Source organism: Homo sapiens, chromosome 11, assembly GCF_000001405.40.
Source record: "Homo sapiens chromosome 11, GRCh38.p14 Primary Assembly".
Classification (NCBI taxonomy): domain Eukaryota; kingdom Metazoa; phylum Chordata; class Mammalia; order Primates; family Hominidae; genus Homo; species Homo sapiens.
The window spans coordinates 12,481,660-12,500,787 of record NC_000011.10 but is presented as its reverse complement, the minus strand read 5'-3'; the positions used below and the strand labels follow the sequence as shown (position 1 = coordinate 12,500,787).

At 40.9% G+C, this 19,128-nt stretch overlaps 1 protein-coding gene across 2 annotated transcripts in view; it reads right to left on the bottom strand.

Moving 5' to 3' along the window:
• The window catches only part of PARVA (parvin alpha), a 158,921-nt gene that overhangs the window by 34,569 nt on the left and 105,224 nt on the right, over positions 1 to 19,128 (bottom strand). For both annotated transcript variants that reach the window (XM_005253015.4, NM_018222.5), the window contains exon 5: positions 4,190 to 4,330. In XM_005253015.4, coding sequence (XP_005253072.1) covers positions 4,190 to 4,330 — 141 coding nt within the window. The remainder of the gene's footprint in view (positions 1 to 4,189; positions 4,331 to 19,128) is intronic.

Sequence of the window (19,128 nt, the reverse complement as noted above, 5' to 3'; positions counted from 1 at the left end):
ATGGAGTCTCACTCTGTCACCCAGGCTGGAGTGCATTGGTGCAATCTTGGCTCACTGCAAGCTCCGCCTCCTGGGTTCAAGCGAATCTCCTGCCTCAGCCTCCCGAGTAGCTGGGATTACAGGCACCTGCCACCACGCTGGGCTAATTTTTGTATTTTTTAGTAGAGACGGGGTTTTGCCATGTTGGCCAGGCTGGTCTCAAAGTCCTGACCTCAGGTGATCCACCCACCTTGGCCTTCCAAAGTGCTGGGATTACAGGTGTGAGCCACAGCGCCCAGCCTTTTTGCCTATTTTCAAATATTCTTTAGAACAAAAATATGCCATTTTTCCAATTAAAACAGATTCTACCCACTGTTGAACATTTGTGCACCCTCATCATTGCTGCCTCTCAACACGTCTCCTGGGAATTTTCTCCCTGTGCTCAACAGAAGCTGAGGCCAACATGTGCCCGCAGTCAAGTCAGGAGGGAACATATGGGATAAGAGTAAGCGCCCAGGCCTCACTGTGCAAGCCGGGAACCGCAGCTGCAAGGCTAAGAGTGTCACTCTAGGGCTGGAAAGCAGTATTTAAAACAGGGCTGCTGAGTTAGAAATAGTCTTCCAAACACGTCCTGTGGTGGAAACAGAAATTGGTGTAATTTTTCTGGAGGTAATTTAACATTATGTACTATGACCTTAAAAATGCTCTCACCCTTTGGCCCTAACATACCACTCTTAGGTATTTATCCTAAAGAAGTCATTATGGCTACAAGCAGGGAGAATGCATCCAGCTGTATTGATATCAGTGGGAAAACGGAGAACAATCTGAAAATCCATTATCAGTTAAGTAAATTATGGTAGATCCATACAATGTCACATTATATAGTATTAAAAGTGACATACAGAAGAATATTTAATGATTTGTCAATATATACATCTTCCAAACAACATAAACAGGTTGATCTCATTTTTGCTAAAAGTTTTTTATATATACATATATAAAATATTATACACTACTTATTACACACGTACAGACACACACAGAACTTGAAGAACACAGCACAATGTTCACGGTTCTTGTCTCTAGGTGGGCAGTGAAAAGACAAAAGTCCCTGCCCTCATGAAGTTTACCTTCATAGTTTCTTAACCTCTCTATGCCCTGACTTTCCCATCTGTAACATGGGAATAAAAGAATTCTTACTTCAGATGGGTGAGTGAAGATTACAAAGATTAAAATACATAAAGTGTTTAGAAGAATACAAGACATACAATAAGCATAATACATGTGTTAAACGTTAATATTTAAATTTATCTGCACTTTGTAAATTTTCAATAATGAAAATTACTGTTGTGAATTAGAAAAAAAAAAAAAGGAAGAAATCCCTAAAGCCCCAGATCAAGGACCTTGGTAACTCAGCAGCCTGTCCCTACCACCCTCATCCTGAGCGGAGAGGCGCCACAGTGTCCTCAGGTTTACATCCACGGAAGGTAACTGAGAGAGGAGACAGAGCTTTTCCCCCAGGAGCTGAGCCTGCCACATTCCTTATGGAACAAGCCACTATGACTTTGTAAATAAGCCCAGCTCTTCAAAAGCCCCAAGGCATCACAGGGAGCTAGCCACCAAGATGAGATAATTATTCCCTCTGACCTAGTAATCCATCTCAGTTCTGGAAATTTATCTAAAGGGAGTAATTCAAGCAAAAAGAGGCACAAGCTAAGACATTCAGTTTGGTGCTATCTGATATTAGAAATAGGTTGGGAAACATCCTAAAAGGATAGGCATCAACCTAGGGTTTAAGTTAACAGTGGGATATCTACCCTATGAAATAGAAACAGCTATCAAAAATTTTAACTACAAAGACCACGAGGGAATGTAGAAAATACGTGTGATGTAAGATCAAGCGAAAAATAACAAAACACAAAAATGTATATGACTTGGGCCAGGTGCAGTGGCTCACGCCTGTAATCCTGGCACTTTGGGAGGCCAAGGCGGGTGGATCACCTGAAGTCAGGACTTTGAGACCAGCCTGGCCATGGCGAATTCCTGTCTCTACTAAAAATACGAAAGTTAGGTGGGCGTGGTGGGGCATCCCTGTAATCCCAGCTACTCAGGAGGCTGAGGCAGGAGAACTGCTTGAACCCAGGAGGCGAAGGTTGCAGTGAGCCAAGATTGTGCCACTTCACTTCAGCCTGGGCAACAGAGCGAGACTCCATCTCAAAAAAAAAAAAAAAAAAAAAGTGTATATGACCTGACCAAGCAAAATGATGCAGTGATGTAACTAGTAACAAATGAAACAGTGAAATGAAACAAATGAAAACAAACAAATGAAAAGCTAGATTAGCATGGTAATACGAGTGATGATTTTTCTTGCACACATTTCCCCGTAAGAAATTAAAGTAAGCATAAACCAAACAAATCATTCAAAGCCACTGGAGACAATGTTCTTGATGTGGCTTTAAAAGACCCTGTTCTAGGCTGGGCACAGTGGCTTGTGCCTGTAATTCTAGCACTTTGGGAGGCCGAGGCGGGTGGACTGCCTGAGCTCAGGAGTTCGAGACCAGCCTGGGCAACATGGTGAAACCCTGTCTCTAGTAAAATACAAAAGAAATTAGCTGGGCTTGGTGGCACACGCCTGTAATCCCAGCTACTCGGGAGGCTGAGGCATGAGAATCGCTTGAACCTGGGAGGCGTAGGTTGCAGTGAGCTGAGATTGCACCACTGCCCTCCAGCCTGGGCAAGGGTGAGACTCTGTCTCTACAAAAAAATAATAATAGTAATAAAAGACTCTGTTCTTCTATCTCAGACTTTCCCAAATTGGGTGCCATGATAAGTTAAATATGTTTGACTTGTTTTTTTTGGAGGGGTACAGGGAGGTGGTCCCTATTCAAAGGAGCGGGAGATAGGATCAAACCAAACTAAACAGCAGTCTTCATTAGAGGACTTCTCTAATGTTTATGACTATTGTGGATTTTTAAAATGCAGATACATTTCCCAAACTAGTCATCAACCTCCCTGCCCTGCCTTGTTCTCCCCCATTGACAATACTAGCATTCCTGGAACACAGTGAAACAGAGCCCCTCTCCTTGATAGCATCTAGGGCCCAGGGCACGGCCTCCCCTCCTCCTGCCCTCAGGTGTCTCCCTCTGCGGGCAAAGAACGCCCTGTGCCCTGTTCCCAGCGTCACTGCTGTGCAAAGCAGCTGATCATGCTGTGCACAAAAACGTGTAATTATGCCGAGGAGGCACTTGGTGTCTCAGCCCCAACGTCAGATGTTAGAGACCTGCTGGAGGGATTGTGACTGGCAGTTACTGGGTTTCTAACTTTAGAGGTGAAGACTCCATTTGCTTTCCCAAGTTTGAAAAGTATTTTTTTTTGTAGGGGGCTGTTGATTTTAAGTTGTGTAAGTTAGACGCAATAAAGCATAGTACTTAACCCCTTAATAGTTAAAGGCAAAACACAGTCTAATCTAATCTTTTATTAATCTAAATTCATATTTTTATCTATTACAATAAACTTTGGAATCCAGTTGCTACTGCTAGATTCACCTAATCCCTTGATTAATTCTGATAGGGACTCATTAAGTCTGTATTAGACACCGGGCCTTTGGAGCAGTAAATGAACTAATAATTTATAAACTAATAATTATTATAAACTAATAATTTATGCTTTCTGAGGTCTCTGAGCTATGCTACCTGTAAAAAGCTGAATTTTAACATCTTGTTTCAGTGCCTATGATCTCAGCCATATCTTTGCTCTTTCTAGAAAATGAAGGGGGATTGGAAGGGCGCGGGCTTTGGAATAGACAGAACTGAATCCTTGCTCCCTGCTTCTCAGCTGTGTGAATGTGGGGACCTCAGCTTCCCAAGCCTCTCCAAGCTGCAGACAACAGCTTTCTCAAAAGGCTGTGCTGGGACTTAGAAGAAGTAGCTCAGTGAATGAGTTTCCTTCCCTTCCCCATTTCACGTGAGGTTTCTATGCAAAGCCTTTTACAGAAGAGGAACGTGAGATTTTGACATTCTGTTATTTTTCCCCAAGGGTATGGATGGAACTTCTTCCAAGTTCTGAGGAAGCGGGGCAACTTGTTCAAAGATAAATGAGTTTGACCCCCTCCCCTGAAGCCTGCCAAGCTTATGGATGGCTTCTTGGGGAAGCCCCATGGCAGGGACCACAGGCATTGTTTAATGGTGCCCCTTTCCTTTGTTCAACTCACAATCCACATTCCACTTGATGCTCCTGGGAGGAAGTTTCAGGGTTTCATTGATCTTCTCCAGGACAGTCTGCAGTTTTTGCTTCTGAGCAATCTCTGACTGGGTGACCTCAGCCACATTTAGCTTCTCACTCTCCAGTTTCTCTGAGGGTGACAAGGGAAAAGAGAACAGCTGTTATGCTGGGCCCCAGACAACCCTACTGCATGCACTTACTCAGTTATTCGGTCTCTCATGCACTCATGCATGCATGCACTCTTGCAACAATAGATACTGGATGCCTACCAGCAGAGGGACACTGCTGTCCCCTCATCACCTTATGGTGGCACCAGCAGCATCAGTACTGTGAGAGCCTCATGATCATGACTTGAATCCCCAGATCCCAGGGGCATTTAACCTAGCCTGTCATATTTGAACTCTATCATTCTGGAGTTTTCTCCTTCTTTTCAATTCTATCTTCTCCAAGGACATCTCTGTGCTCCGACTGGAAAGCCTTCTCTGTAGAGTTAGTCAAGGCATTTTGTACATTCCTGTAGTACAGTCTGGTCAGGTCCAATCATACTTATCTGTTTTAAGTACCTTCTTTCCTTTTAAACCCACCTGGAAGGTAACTTACTTAATGTGTCATATTTAATCAATTCTAAGGCACATATTTTTCACATTTTAACATCCTTAAAGTCAGGTTGTGTTTTACTGGCATCCTACAATGGCTGCCAGCTAGGTGGAAGGTCTAAGAGTTATCATTGTCTCCACGGGCATGAACTTGCTTGTAGCTCTTCACAGTATGATTACTTACATGTCTCAATAAGCCTACATGAGCACCTTCAAAAAGTATAAAATAAAAATTCTCAGCAACAAGAAAGCATTGAGTAATAGCTTAAAGTGATTTTTCTCTTTCTGAGTGGTTTTTATATAATGGTGTGTTTTAAAATCAATAGTTTTTTTTTATGCAATGACATAACACCTTAATACTTAAAAAAAAGGAAAAACTCAGTCTAATCATTTTGTTAATCTAAATTCATATTTTAATCTATTACAAAGAAAAAAACAACTTTGGACTCCTTAACAGGAAATTGGTTGCCTACCACTGGAACTCACCCAATCACTTCTAATTAATTTAAGATTGACAGAACTGCACACATTTAAAATATCTTTTCTCCTAATTTTTAAGGGCTGCTATACAAGTTAAATTTTACTATGTATCAATATTTTCCCTAATGCTTACATAATTTATTTTTAAGTAACTGTGGTTTATCTAAGCCAAATGCCCCTTGAGTCATTCTTTGAAGATAAAGTTGCCCAATGGAGAATTTATGCAGGTTCTGTGGATTTGCGAATTTTTTTAAGCACCTCAGTAGGACAATCTCAAGCTATTCTTACCTGTGATGGCCTGAAATGTTCTCTTTAGTTGTTTAAGCCATTTTTATCTCTAAAGTTCAGGGATTTAACAAGAATAAATCTAAATGTCTTCTTCTTACATCTTGAAGAGACCTTGTGTGTGCCTTATCCATTTTTAGGCTGAATTCTTATCTTGGATCCTCTCCTACTGAAAAAATGACAAGTTATTTTCTTTCACTTTTTCCCATTATTTTCAGATGATGTAATTGTCTCTATAGAAGCAAGTTATTTTAATCTTACTTTGCAACTACAAGCATTGGATAGAGGCTGCCCAAAATGCTAGGTTAAGAACCTTCTGGTCTTATCTTGGCTCAGAGGCAAAGATTGCAGGCAAAGATTACTGATGACTGTTGTGAGAGAGGGTTGGGTGGGGAGGAGAGGAGTGAGGAGGAGCCACTTATTTGCTAGCTCTGCTGTGTTGCATCATTGTCTATACATTTTCATATTTAAAATCTGGCATTGAACAGATTTTCAGCTTAGGTCTCTGAGTCTGTTTTCTAGGTCAATAACTTTTTCTTGCACAGTTGTCTAGTTCATTCTTTTTTTTTTTAAATGGTGTGACATAAGAAGAAATATACATCTTGCCTCCTTGATCTCCCTTCCTAGCACAGAGCTTCTAAAAACCTTGTAACTTTCTGAAAGATGATAGTGGCATCTATGGTTATAATATTTGGGTTTTGTCCCCAGTTCCTGAAAAAGCTCTGAAATGATTAAGGTAAAAGGAACATCTTTTGTTATTCATAACAAGCCCCTTTCACCTACATCTGAGTTTATGTTAATGAGGCAACTTTTAGAAAGCTCTGAGGATGGGGAAGCTGATTGCCAGGAGAACCAAGCATATGATTAAAGGATTGGAACATTCAGCCTCATACCCCCGACCCATGAGAAAGGGGAAGGAAGCTGGAGGTCAACTATCAATGGCCAGTGATTTAATCAGTTATGCCTACTTAATGACACTTCATAAAAACTCTGGCCGAAAATGTTCAGAGAGCTTCCTGGTTGGTAAATATATAAAGGTGCTGGAGGGTCATGCACATGAGAAAGCATGGAAGCTCTGTGCCTCTCCCACAAACCATGCCCTATGCATCTCTTCCTTTTGGCTGATTTTGAGTTTTATCCTTTATAATAGACTAGTAAACCTAAGTGCCTTCCTGAGTTCTGTGTGCCATTCTAGCAAATGATCATATCTGAGGAAAGGGTTTTGGAAACCCCTGATCTATTATAGCTAGTCGGTCAGAAGTACCAGAGGTCTGAACTTGGCGAATGCCAACTGAAGTGGGGACACTCTTGTGGCACTGAGCCCTTAACCTGTGAGGGCTGTGCTAAGTTTGGGACAGTAGTATCAAAATTAAATTGTAGGACACCCTGTTGCTGTCCATAGAGAACTGGAAAATTGCTTAGTGTGGAAAACCCACATATTTGGTGTCAGAAGTGTTAGGAGTATAGAGAAATGTGTTTTCCATTATTGGATTTCACACCTTACTTACTGAAGCATCCATTGTTTTTCTGTTTCCACTAATATATTTAACTAGTCTATGGTACTAAAATTGTAGTGCATTCTTCCTAAAATTAATTTTTTTCCTTTTTTTTTTTAGCGTCTGGTATTTCTTATTTAGGAGAAGCATTTTTGTGGCTTTGTTTTGTGTTGCAAATGTTTTATAAAATGTAATTCTGCTTTACTTCTTTCCATTTTAGTCATTATGCTTTGGGTTTATATTCTTGCTTTTAATTTTTGCTGTTCGATATTTTAGTTTAGGCATTGATATTGGTATTAAATGGATTTGCATAAAAATATATCGAAGTAATCCTTATTGTGTGTGTGTTAATATTCTCTCTTTTTTTTTTTTTTTGAGATGGAGTCTCATTATGTTGCCCAAGCTGGAGTGCAGTGGCACAATCTCAGCTTACTGCAACCTCTGCCTCCCGGGTTCAAGTGATTCTCCTGTCTCAGCCTCCTAAGTAGCTGGGATTACAGGCATGCACCACCACGCCCAGCTAATTTTTGTATTTTTAGTAGAGATGGGGTTTCATTATGTTGGTCAGGCTAGTCTCGAACTCCTGGACTCAAGAGATCCACCCACCTCAGCCTCCTAAAGTGCTGGGATTACAGGCATGAGCCACCACACTCAGCCTTCTCTTTCTCTTTTAATGAAAATGAGATTATAGTATATATATATTTTTGCTATTGGCTTTTTTCCACTCATATATATATCATAAGTCTTTTCAGGTCAATATATGAATATAACTCATTATTTTTCAAAACTGCATATTGCATTATATGACTTATAACTTGACATACAGCCAGGTTATAACCCACATTTTCTGTATTTGTAATAAAGTTGCAATAAACATCTTGTGTGTGTGTGTGTGTATGTATTACTAATTGATTACTGCTGGTAAACATGAAAGCTATTGCCTTACAGATTTTTTCCTTGTATGTTGTCATCTTACCAAATCCCTTTATTAGTCCTATTGCGGTTTGAGTCTTCAGCATTCTCTGGGTATACAAATAAAACATCATTATCTCTATTTTGCAGGCTTATGTGACATATTTTAATTTTCTAACATTTTAAATAAAAGATTAATTTGCGAACTTCTTCTGCTATTCCTACCACCTCCTTTATCTTTAAGGTATTCAACCCTTAAAATATAAGAGGCCCCCTCAAATAATATTTCTATAGCTTAATAGTAATTTACTCAACATTACTAAGGATTTAAAGATAATGTTCTTTTGTGGGCTAATTTCAGCTAGCTCCATAAAGTTTTCTATTGCTGAAGTTTTATTCTTCCAGGAAACTGTTTCTCTCATGTTTCCATAGTTACACAAATTGTTCATAACTAGTTTAACTCTTCATAAGTATTAGGCATGATTTTGAAATTGATAGGATGTGATTTAGAAAATTTTCTCAGGTGGATTATTTTGTGAATCTTTGAGTTGTTTTTGAAGGTATTACCCAAATTTGCTTTTGGAGAGATTATATATAGAAAACAATGAAACAGTAGTCAAAAGTTCTGACGCATAAAGACAAGGCAGAATAAACTCAATTACCCTGAATGGTGGGAGAACTGAGATGTTCTAACAAACACAATTGTCATATATACCACACTATATTAACGTAACCACCCTTCAAGAACTAAAATATGTAAAATACTCTTTCCAGTATGAACAGTTCCTGAGTTGTTTAAAAAATACTTTTGTCTCCAAGTATATTAGGAGAGAAACTTGCATTGTAGTCAGAGAATTTGGTCTGTATGCTAATTTGTTGAGATTTGCTTTATGGGCATAGTCAAATTTCGTTAAGTGTTCCATGAGCAGTTGAAAAGAATACAGTTTGCAGGGTATCATATGCTATATACAGATTAGTTAGAGCTGATTAACTGTATTATTCAAATATTCTCTATGAACTTTTTTCTTAATATGTTATTAAGAGAAGTATGTTAAAAACTAGCACTGTGATAGGTTTGTCAAATTCTTGAAGTAATGATTATCATTTTAAATTTTTAAATATTTGATATACAAAAGTACATATAAGTTTAAAATTTCTATATTTTCCTAGTGACTTTAATTTCTTATTAATATGTAGTGACTCTCTGTAGTAATGCCTTTTGCCTTAAAGTCTATTTTGTATGATGTAAAATAGTTACCCCAGCTTTAAAAAAATTAGTCCTGTATACATAATTATTTCCACCCTTTTTCTTTCAACCTTCGCGTGTCCCTCATTTATTAAAACTATCTCAGCTGGGCGTGGTGGCTTTATGCCTGTAATCCCAGCACTTTGGGAAGCTGAGGCAGGAGGACTGCTTGAGGCCAGGAGTTGGAGACCAGCCTGGGCAACATAGCGAGACCCTGTCTGTACAAAAAATAAGAAGATACTTAGCTGGGCATGGTGGCACACACCTGTAGTCCTAACTACCTGGGGGGCTGAAATGGGAGGATTTCTTTTGAGCCTGGGAGGTAGAGGCTACAGTCGGCTGTGATTGTGCCACTGTACTCCAGCCTGGGTAACAGAGCAAGACCCTGTCTCAAAACAAAACAAAACTATCTCTTGTATATAGTATTTGGCAAGAATTTGTTTTGTTATTTGGTCTGATATTGAGTTTACCAGTATACTTGGATTCACTTCTACCAACTTATTCTGAACTTTCTATTTAGTGGGTTTTCCGATTCTTCTCCCACTTCCAGCCTTGTTTTTTTTTGGATTAATGTTTTCATTCTTTCTCATTCCATTTTCTCCCCATGATTAGTAGGGAGGTTATATACTCTGTTTCTATTATTTCAGTATTTATGATAGAAAATTTATCATTCATATTTAACTTAATAAAGTCTTAAGCTAATTGGTATCTTTACCCATATACTAAACAATACAAAGACCTCAGCACGCGTTGACTCCAATTACATAATTCCTGATTTATGTGCTACGGTTGTATGGGATTCTGATTCTATCTTGTTTTAATTAACAAATTAGACATTATTGTGATTATTTTATATTCATTTAATTATGGCTTTGATCTACCCACCATGATAATCTTTGTTCACTATTGCATTTTAGGTATTTTTGGGGGGTTCATTTTCCTTCCTATTTTACATTCTTGAGAAATTCCTTTGCGGGGGTCTATTGGTAATAAACCCTCTCAGTTTGTGTTTATTGAAAATGCCTTTATTTTCTCTCTCTCTCTTTTTTTTTTTTTGAGACATAGTCTTACTCTATCACCCAGGCTGGAGTGCAGTGGCTCGATCTCTGCTCACTGCAACCTCCACCTCAAGTGATTCTCCTGCCTCAGCCTCCCAAGTAGCTGAGATTACAGGTGTGCGCCACTATTGCCTGGCTAATTTTTGTATTTTTAGTAGAAATGGGGTTTCACCATGTTGATCAGGCTAGTCTTGAACTCCTGAGCTCAGGTGATCCATTCGCCTCAGCCTCCCAAAGTGCTGGGATTACAGGCGTGAGTCACTGAGCCCCGCCTCTCCTAACTTTTTTTTTTTTTTTTTGAGACTGAGTCTCACTCTGTCACCCAGGCTGGAGTGCAGTGGCACGATCTCGGCTCACGGCAAGCTCTGCTTCCCTGGTTCACGCCATTCTCCTGCCTCAGCCTCCCGAGTAGCTGGGACTACAGGTGCCCACCACCACACCCGGCTAATTTTTTGTATTTTTCATAGAGACGGGGTTTCACCATGTTAGCCAGGATGGTCTCGATCTCCTGACCTTGTGATCCATCTGCCTTGGCCTCCCAAAATGCTGGGATTATAGGCGTGAGCCACTGCACCTGGCTGCCTCTCCTAACTTTTTAAAGCCGCCTCTCCTAACAGTTTTTTTGGCTGTGTATGAACTTATAAGTTGATCATTTTTGTCAGCACTTTAAAGACATCAAAGTATTTTGATATCTTCAGTATTAATATCTTTTGGCTTTTTTTGTTCCTTGTGAAAGACAGCTTTCAGTCTGTTGTTCCTTTATAAATAATTGATTTTTTCCTCTATGCTTTTAATCATTTGTCTTCAGTGTTCTTAGGTTTCACTGTAAAATGTGTAGGTGTAGATTTGTCACTACTTATACTATTTGGGATTCACTGAGCTCCCTGAATCTGAGGATTCATGTCTTTCATCAATTCTAGAAAATTCTCATTCATTATGTTTTCTTTAAATATTTACTATACTCCATTTTCTTTTCTTCTAGAATTCCAGTTAGCTATGTATGTTGCATCTACTTAGACTAACCTCTATGTTTTCAAATTCTCTTTCTCGTTTTCTATTCTGTTGTCTTTCTATACTGGATTCTGGGTAATTTCTCTAGTGCTGTCTTCTGGTTCATTAATTCCTTCTTTAGCTGTGTCTAATCCATTGAGGTTTCTAGTTTCATTATTATTCACACTTTTTCATTTCTAGAAGTTCTATTTGGTTGTTTTTCATATCTACCTTCCAGTCTTAATAGTTTCTTGTTCTTTTATCATTTTTAAGTCTTTAAAAACATTTATTTTGACATATTAAACATACTCATTTTATATTCTATAACTGAACACTTTTTTTCTTTTTCTTTTTTTTTTTTAAATAGAGGTGGGGTCTCACCATATTGCCCATGCTAGTCTCGAACTCCTGGGCTCAAGCAATCCTCCCACCTTGGCTTCCCAAAGTGCTGGGGCTACAGGTATGAGCCACCATACCCAGTCTATAGCTCAACAGTTTCTAATATTTATAGTATTTGTGGGATGAATCTACAGATTATTGTTTCTGTTGACAGTGCTCATGGTGGCTTACGCTCATGTCTTTGGTGATTTCTAATTTTGAGGTCATATTCCTTGGAATTTTAACTCTGGGAGTTCTTTGTGGTCTGAGTTTAGAGTTCCTTCCTCTTTAAAAGAAGGACATATGTTTGCTTCTGTCTTGGGGCACTAGTGACCTGGGACAACTTGTAACTAAAATTTCAATTTAGATTTTTTAAAGTCACATAAGTACTGTGAATCCTAGCCTTAAATCTGTGTGAGTATAGACTTTTGATGAGGAGTTATCTGAAGCAGACTTCTTTTTAATTGTTCTGTTCACATCCAAGGCTAAGATAATTTATCCTTATTGCCTCTTTCTGTGGGACAAATTTTGTACTCATTGAAAGAGTTGCCCTTTCAAGACCATGGCTCTATTCAGGGGGCTCGAATCCAACCCTCTTTCTTGCTCAGACTCTACCCAAGATTTGTCTCCTGACCCTGTATGTGTGACCCTTTAAACTTCAGGCTATAGGCCATTAGGAATGATAGGTTATTAGGAATTAGCACTTATCCCACTAGATTTATACTTCCTTCTTGTTCTTGGAATCAGAAGAATTTCCTTCCTTTTCACACCAGTTTAGCCATCCCATACAAAAATATGTTCTTGAAGGCTTATCCAGATTTTTAAAGCATGAGGTACCAATAAGATTTATCTGAACATCTAGTCATCAGCCATAATGCTAAAAATGAAAATCTATTTTCTTATCATATTAATTAGGACCTCTGAAACACTTATAATAGTTGTAACAGCCATTATTTCTCATTTGTCCCTAATACCACATCTCTGATATTTCACTATTTAATATGTTCAGTTAGGTTTTATTTAGTGGTCTTTATCATATTTAAGTAGTTTCCTCTTTCTATTTTACTTGAAATGACTGTTCAAATATGTATCAAATGTTATTTGATATCTACTGATGGGTTAATTCAGTTTTGCTCCTGAAATTTACATATGCACTCAACCAATTTCAATAAGACTGATAATATACAAACAGAGAAAATTCAAGCTGTGAAAACTGTCTCCTTTCCATGGCAGTCCCAAGTTCCCTAGTCCCATTCATAGAGACAGTTTATTATGACTATTACGAGAAATATTCTATGCATACAAACATTGTATGTGTCCCTTGACACACACACACACAGTCGTTCTCTACCATGCCTTTTTCTATGTAGTAAGACATTTTAGAGAGCTTCTCTATTATTTATAAAGAATAATAATAAAAAACTTTCATCTAACTTTTGAGTTTGAGATGAGAAAATAACTCTTTCAGTTTAAGAATAGCAGCATATATCAACAATCCTAAAATCAGATTATAGGAGGAGGATCTTCAAGCAGGGCTATTCAGCAGAACTATCTGGTATGATGGCAATGTTCATTTTTTTAATTGTCCAACGTGGTAGCTACTAGCTACATTTGGCTATTGAGCACTTGATATCTAGCTGGTGTAACTGAGAAAATGAATGTTCCATTTTAATTGCTTTTAACAGCTGCATATGGCTATTGGTTGCTGAATTGAATAGCTCAGCCATAGAGGTTTTTAAAGCCACCTTCCTGACTTTACAGGAGAGTGATCGGAGTAACAGAGGTATGTTTTAGTGGTGAAACCAAGATTGGAACTGAGATCTCCTGTTTCTTCATTCCTGCTTCAATTTTAGCATAGCTGCCACTTCAGCCCAGCATTTTAGGGCATAGAAAAGTGACTCTCAAAGTAAACAAGATCAAACTCTTCAAGATGCATCTCCTCCTGGGGTTCATGGAGTCATACCTGTTCAACATCCACCACATAGAATCAGCCTGGTTTACTCTAGCTACTCTCCCTACATCTCTAGGTCCTCTTCAAGCTTTTCCCCATCCAAACTGACACTCCTCTATTTGACACTATCCTTTTCTCATGAGGAGATGCTCTGCTGGAGTTCCTTCCACTCTCTCTGAGCATCTCCCATACTGCTCCTATGTTATTTCCTAAAGCCCCATTTCTGACTGTGTTGTTTTGCTCATAAGGCACCACTAGTTGCCGCTACCAAAACAATACAGTCTAAAACTCTTAGTTCATGGTCCTCTAATGTGAGCTTCATCTTCTTCCTTTATTTTATTTATTGTTTTGAGACAGAGTCTCACTTTGTCTTCCAGGCTGGAGTGCAGTGGTACGATCTCAGCTCACTGCAACCTCTGCCTCCTGGGCTCAAGTGATCCTCCTGCCTCAGTCTCCTGAGAAGCTGGGATTACAGGCGCCCACCACCATGCCCCACTAATTTTTGTATTTTTAGTAGAAATGAGGTTTTATCATGTTGGTCAGGCTGGTCTTGAATTCCTGGCCTCAAGTGATCTGCCTGCCTCGGCCTCCTAAAGTGCTGGGATTACAGGCATGAGCCACCGCACCCAGCTTTATTTTATTTTATTTTTATTTTTATTTTTGAGACAGAGTTTCGCTCTTGTTGTGCACGCTGGAGTACAGTGATGTGATCTCGGCTCACTGCAACCTCCGCCTGCCGAGTTCAAGCGATTCTCCTGCCTCAGCCTCCCAAGTAGCTGGGATTACAGGTATGTGCCACCATGCCTGGCTAATTTTGTATTTTTAGTAGAAACAAAGTTTCTCCATGTTGGTCAGGCTGGTCTCGAACTCCCGACCTCAGGTGATCCACCCACCTCGGCCTCCCAAAGTGCTGAGATTACAGGTGTGAGCCACGGCGCCCAGCCCTTTATTTTAAATAGACTTTTCATTTTAGAATGGTTTTTAGATTTATAGAAAAGTTACAAACAGTACAGACAATTCCTATGCACTCCGAACTCAGTTTCCCCTCCTATTGTTAACAGCTCACATTACTATCGTACATATGTCACAGCTATTTATGTATGGCATTAGTACATGACTGTTAACTCTATATCTTATCTGGATTCACTAGGTTTTTTCTAATGCCCTTTTTCTGTTTCAGGAAACGGTCTAGGATACCACTTCTTTTCTTCATGTCTCCTTAGCGTCCTCTGTTCTGTGATGGTTTTTCACACTTGCATTGTTTTTACCATGACCTTGACAGTTTTGAGAAGTGATGGTCAGGACTGCTTGATTTTTCCTATATTTTTCTCATGGGTAGGCTGGGGAGGAAGACCACAGAAGTGAAGTACCCTTTCATTACACCCTCCCCCTACCCTGTCCCCACTTCCACACTCTAACCATGGGAAGCCTGTCACTAAATTCAGCCACTCAAGGATTGTGGAATTAATTGCCACCTTTTTTGAAGGGGTTATATCTACACAAAGTATTTGAAATTCTATAAGGCAGAGTTGTCTTTTTGTTCCCATTTGCTTATTTGTTCAGTTATTTATATCAGTATCAATTTAAGGGTATTTAGACTTTGGGTTATAATCCAATACTGCTATTATTAATTTTTCCCCCAAATAATTCCAGCTTTGGCCACTGGGAGCTCCCTCAGGTTGGTTTTGGACATTTTCAATGTGTGGCCCTGTATATATATTTTTTCTTAGCACTTCTTTTTGGTACTGCAAGATGCTCTAGGCTCATCTACATTCCCTGCCCCAGGTCTAAAATTAGCCATTTCTCCAAGAAGTCCTGGTTTCTCCTGTTGGAAATGGTGCTAAAAACCACGACCTGGGAGCTGGGTCTCATTTTCTTTGTTAGCCTCATATCCCAGTCACCCAACCCTGATGGTCATCTACCCACTGGCTCCTGGACTCTACAGCATTTTCCCTCCATTAGCACCAAAATTAACAGAGGCTTCCTGGAAACTCTTTTGTTGTCTTGGCTAAAGTGCCCTTTCTCCTTCCTCATATGGTTGAGAATCTTTTTCTGTAAGGCCCCATTCAAAATGCCCCCTCTGGCTGGGTGAGGTGGCTCACGCCTTTAATCCCACCACTTTGGGAGGCCAAGGTGGGTGAATCATTTGAGCCCAGTAGTTTAAGACCAGCTTGGGCAACATGGTGAAATTCCATCTCTACAAAACACACAAAAATTAGTTGGGTGTGGTGGCACACACCTGTGATCCCAGCTACCTGGGAGGCTGAGATGGGAAGATCTCCTGAGCCCAGGGAGGTCAAGGCTGCAGTGAGCTATGATTGTGCCACTGCACTCCAGCCTAGGCAATAGAGTGAGGCCCTATCTCAAAAAAAAAAAAAAAAAAAAAAGTCAACAAAAATCAAACACCAAAATACCCCCTCTTTCCTGAAACCTTTCCCAAACTCCTACTTGATCTCTTACAGACCTGTATACTACCAGGCTGTGAGTTTCCACAAGACAGCATATGACACATTTACTTTTATATTCCTGAACTCAGCAGTTAGCATATAGCACACCAAATGGTTTTTGCCTAGTGGATATTATTATCTGACTGATTAAGATCAGTGTAAAATGCACTCTTTAGGGTCTATCAGGGAAAAAGAAAACCACACACACACACACACACACACACACACACACACACACACACACCAAAACAAAACCACCCTCCTGCAGAACTTTACTGCCACAGGGAAACTTTTGGTCTCAAGCCTGAAGAATGATATCCTGTTTCAGTCACATGTTACTGTGAAAACCAGAAAGAAGAGCCCTGGAAGCTTATGACTCTCATCTCTGAAAATAGGCCTTTTCTGTTCCCAGCACATGTACATGTTCAAACATAAGGATCAGTCAAATGAAACATACCACAAGGAAATTCACATAGACATCCCAAGCCAGGAAACCTCAATAAGAAGCAGGCAGTGGGCCATGTTCAAATGAAGTGATGAATTATGTTGTATAGGCATCTTCCTGGAATCGCTTATCCCATCTCTCACTCAGTCATGCCTACTGCCTAGGTGTTGTGAATGTAAATATAACCAGGTGACCATGGACATACCTGTATAACTGAGGTATTTGGAAATGTGTCCCAACTTTGGATGATTCTGTGACTTCTTATTGATGCCATGGAGTAAGAGTATATTCTGGGAGACCTAAGGCTCTTTCTTCCATCAATCACCCTGGAAGGGGGTAATCCTGGACAAGAAATGAGGTGACTTTTTGGCTGGGGTAGGAAGGAACTTCCTCCTCATTCTGGGGTTCGGAAACCTCTGCTCTGAGGTTTGGAAAGGGCTAGGGCTGCTCCCATGAGAGGATGAAGTGTATGTCATGAAGAGGCAGGCCAGCGTTGCTGGCAGCTAATATTTTATTGGCAGCAACATCAACAGCGCAGAGAAGTGGCCAGTGTCCCCACAGCGGGGTTGCTGTCTCTGTGGTCTCTCTGGATGACAGCGATGCCCCTTCCCCCAGCTCCTTGGCCCACCTGCATTCATCTGCAGCTACAGACAGCTCCTAGCACACTGATGGCCATCTCTGGCCCCAAGGCTCTCTCCTCTGTCACCACAGGAGCACAGCCTGGAAGTTTTTATTTCCTGCACAGGTCACCCTCAACCACAGGGGGAAAGGAGCCATAGGATAAATGCCCTTGCTACCTTGCACTGGGAAGGGTGATTCTGAGATGTGTTGTTACGTGGTTTCTCAGAGGGCCCAGCTATGAGCCCTGGTTGAAACAGAGCTGCTGTTCTGATTAACATACTCGTGTTTGGCATTTCTCTCTTCCCCTCTTACGTGCCCTACTCAGTTATTTGTACGTTTTAAGGTCACCTTCTATATAAGCTTCCTCCACCCACATCCTTGTCTTGGCGTCTGCTTTTGGGAAAACCTAAACTAAGATCTGCTGCCAGGGCAAGTGGGAAGACCCAGGGAATACAGGCAGCAATGGGGCAGCTGGGTTGGGCAGCTAAGAAAGGACTAGGGAGAGGCTGTTCTGATAGAATCTACCAGAAATGCCTGGGGCCTGTGAGAAGGGTGATTTTCCTGCAAGGAAGGCAGACACTGCTGTGAGCAAGGGGCATGTGGCCACACAGAGGTGAGCCAGGCATGCTATTGCTCCCCATTGAGCTCACAATTGGAGAACACCCAGCCAGTCCTTGCCAGCCAAAGTCACATGGCATCTCAAGGACGCTCACCTGTTCAGGCTTTCACCACAGCAACGAAACATATACAACTCTCTGCCAAGAAGTCCCTGCCTAATATGGTTTGGCTGTGTCCTTGCCCAAATCTCACCTTGAATTGTAATAATCCCCATGTGTCAAGGGTGGGGCCAGGTGGACATAACTGAATCATGGGGTAGTGAATAAGTCTCACGATATCTGATGGTTTTATAAATGGGAGTTCCCCTGCACAAGCTTTTCTGCCTGCCGCCATGTAAGACATGACTTTGTTCTTCATTCGCCTTCAGCCATGATTGCAAGGCCTCACCAGCCATGTGGAACCGTGAGTCAATTAAACCTCTTTCCTTTTTTTTTTTTTTGAGATGGAGACTTGCTCTGTCACCCAGGCTGGAGTGCAATGGTATGATCTTGGCTCACTGCAACCTCTGCCTCCTGGGTTCAAGCGATTCTCCTGCCTCAGCCTCCCAAGTAGCTGGGATTGCAGGTGCCCACCACCACGCCTGGCTAATTTTTGTATTTTTAGTAGAGATGGGGGTTTCACCATGTTGGTCAGGCTGGTCTCGAACTCCTGACCTCATGATCCACCTGCCTCGGCCTCCCAAAGTGTTGGGATTACAGGCGTGAGCCACCACACCCGGCCAGCTTTCCTTTTTAAATTACCCAGCCTTGGGTATATCTTTATGAGCAGTGTGAGAACAGACTAATACACTGCCACACCTTCTCACACACTTCTGCCTCTAGGTTCTGGGTCTTTGCTCCACAATGTAATCAACATGGCTTCCTGGATTCCATGTCCTTTTTTTTTCTTTTTCTTTTTTTTTTTTTTTTGAGACAGGGTTTCGTTCTTGCTGCCCAGGCTGGAGTGCAATGGCACGATCTCGGCTTGCTGCAACCTCTGCCTCCTGGGTTCAAGTGATTCTCCTGTCTTAGCCTCGCAAGTAGCATGCACCACCATGCCCGGCTAATTTTTTGTATTTAGAAGAGATGGAGTTTCACCATGTTGGTCAGGCTGGTCTCGAACTCCTGACCTCAGATGATCCACCTGCCTGAGTCTCCCAAAGTGCTGGGATTACAGGTGTGAGCCACCACGCCTGGCCCTGTATCCTTTTCTTGATGTCAGATGTGTATGCTCCTGGGCTACGAGAGGCCCCTATGCCATTTCCATCATCTTCTAAGTGCTAGTGTTTCATAGTTACTTTACTAATCTCAAACTCAGACCCCTCCAGCTCGCTGCCCAAACAACTCAGTATTAAGGAAGCTCAACCCCCAGTACGATTAGAAGCTGGATTTCTGGGAACAGTCATGCCTAGTTAATACCACCACGT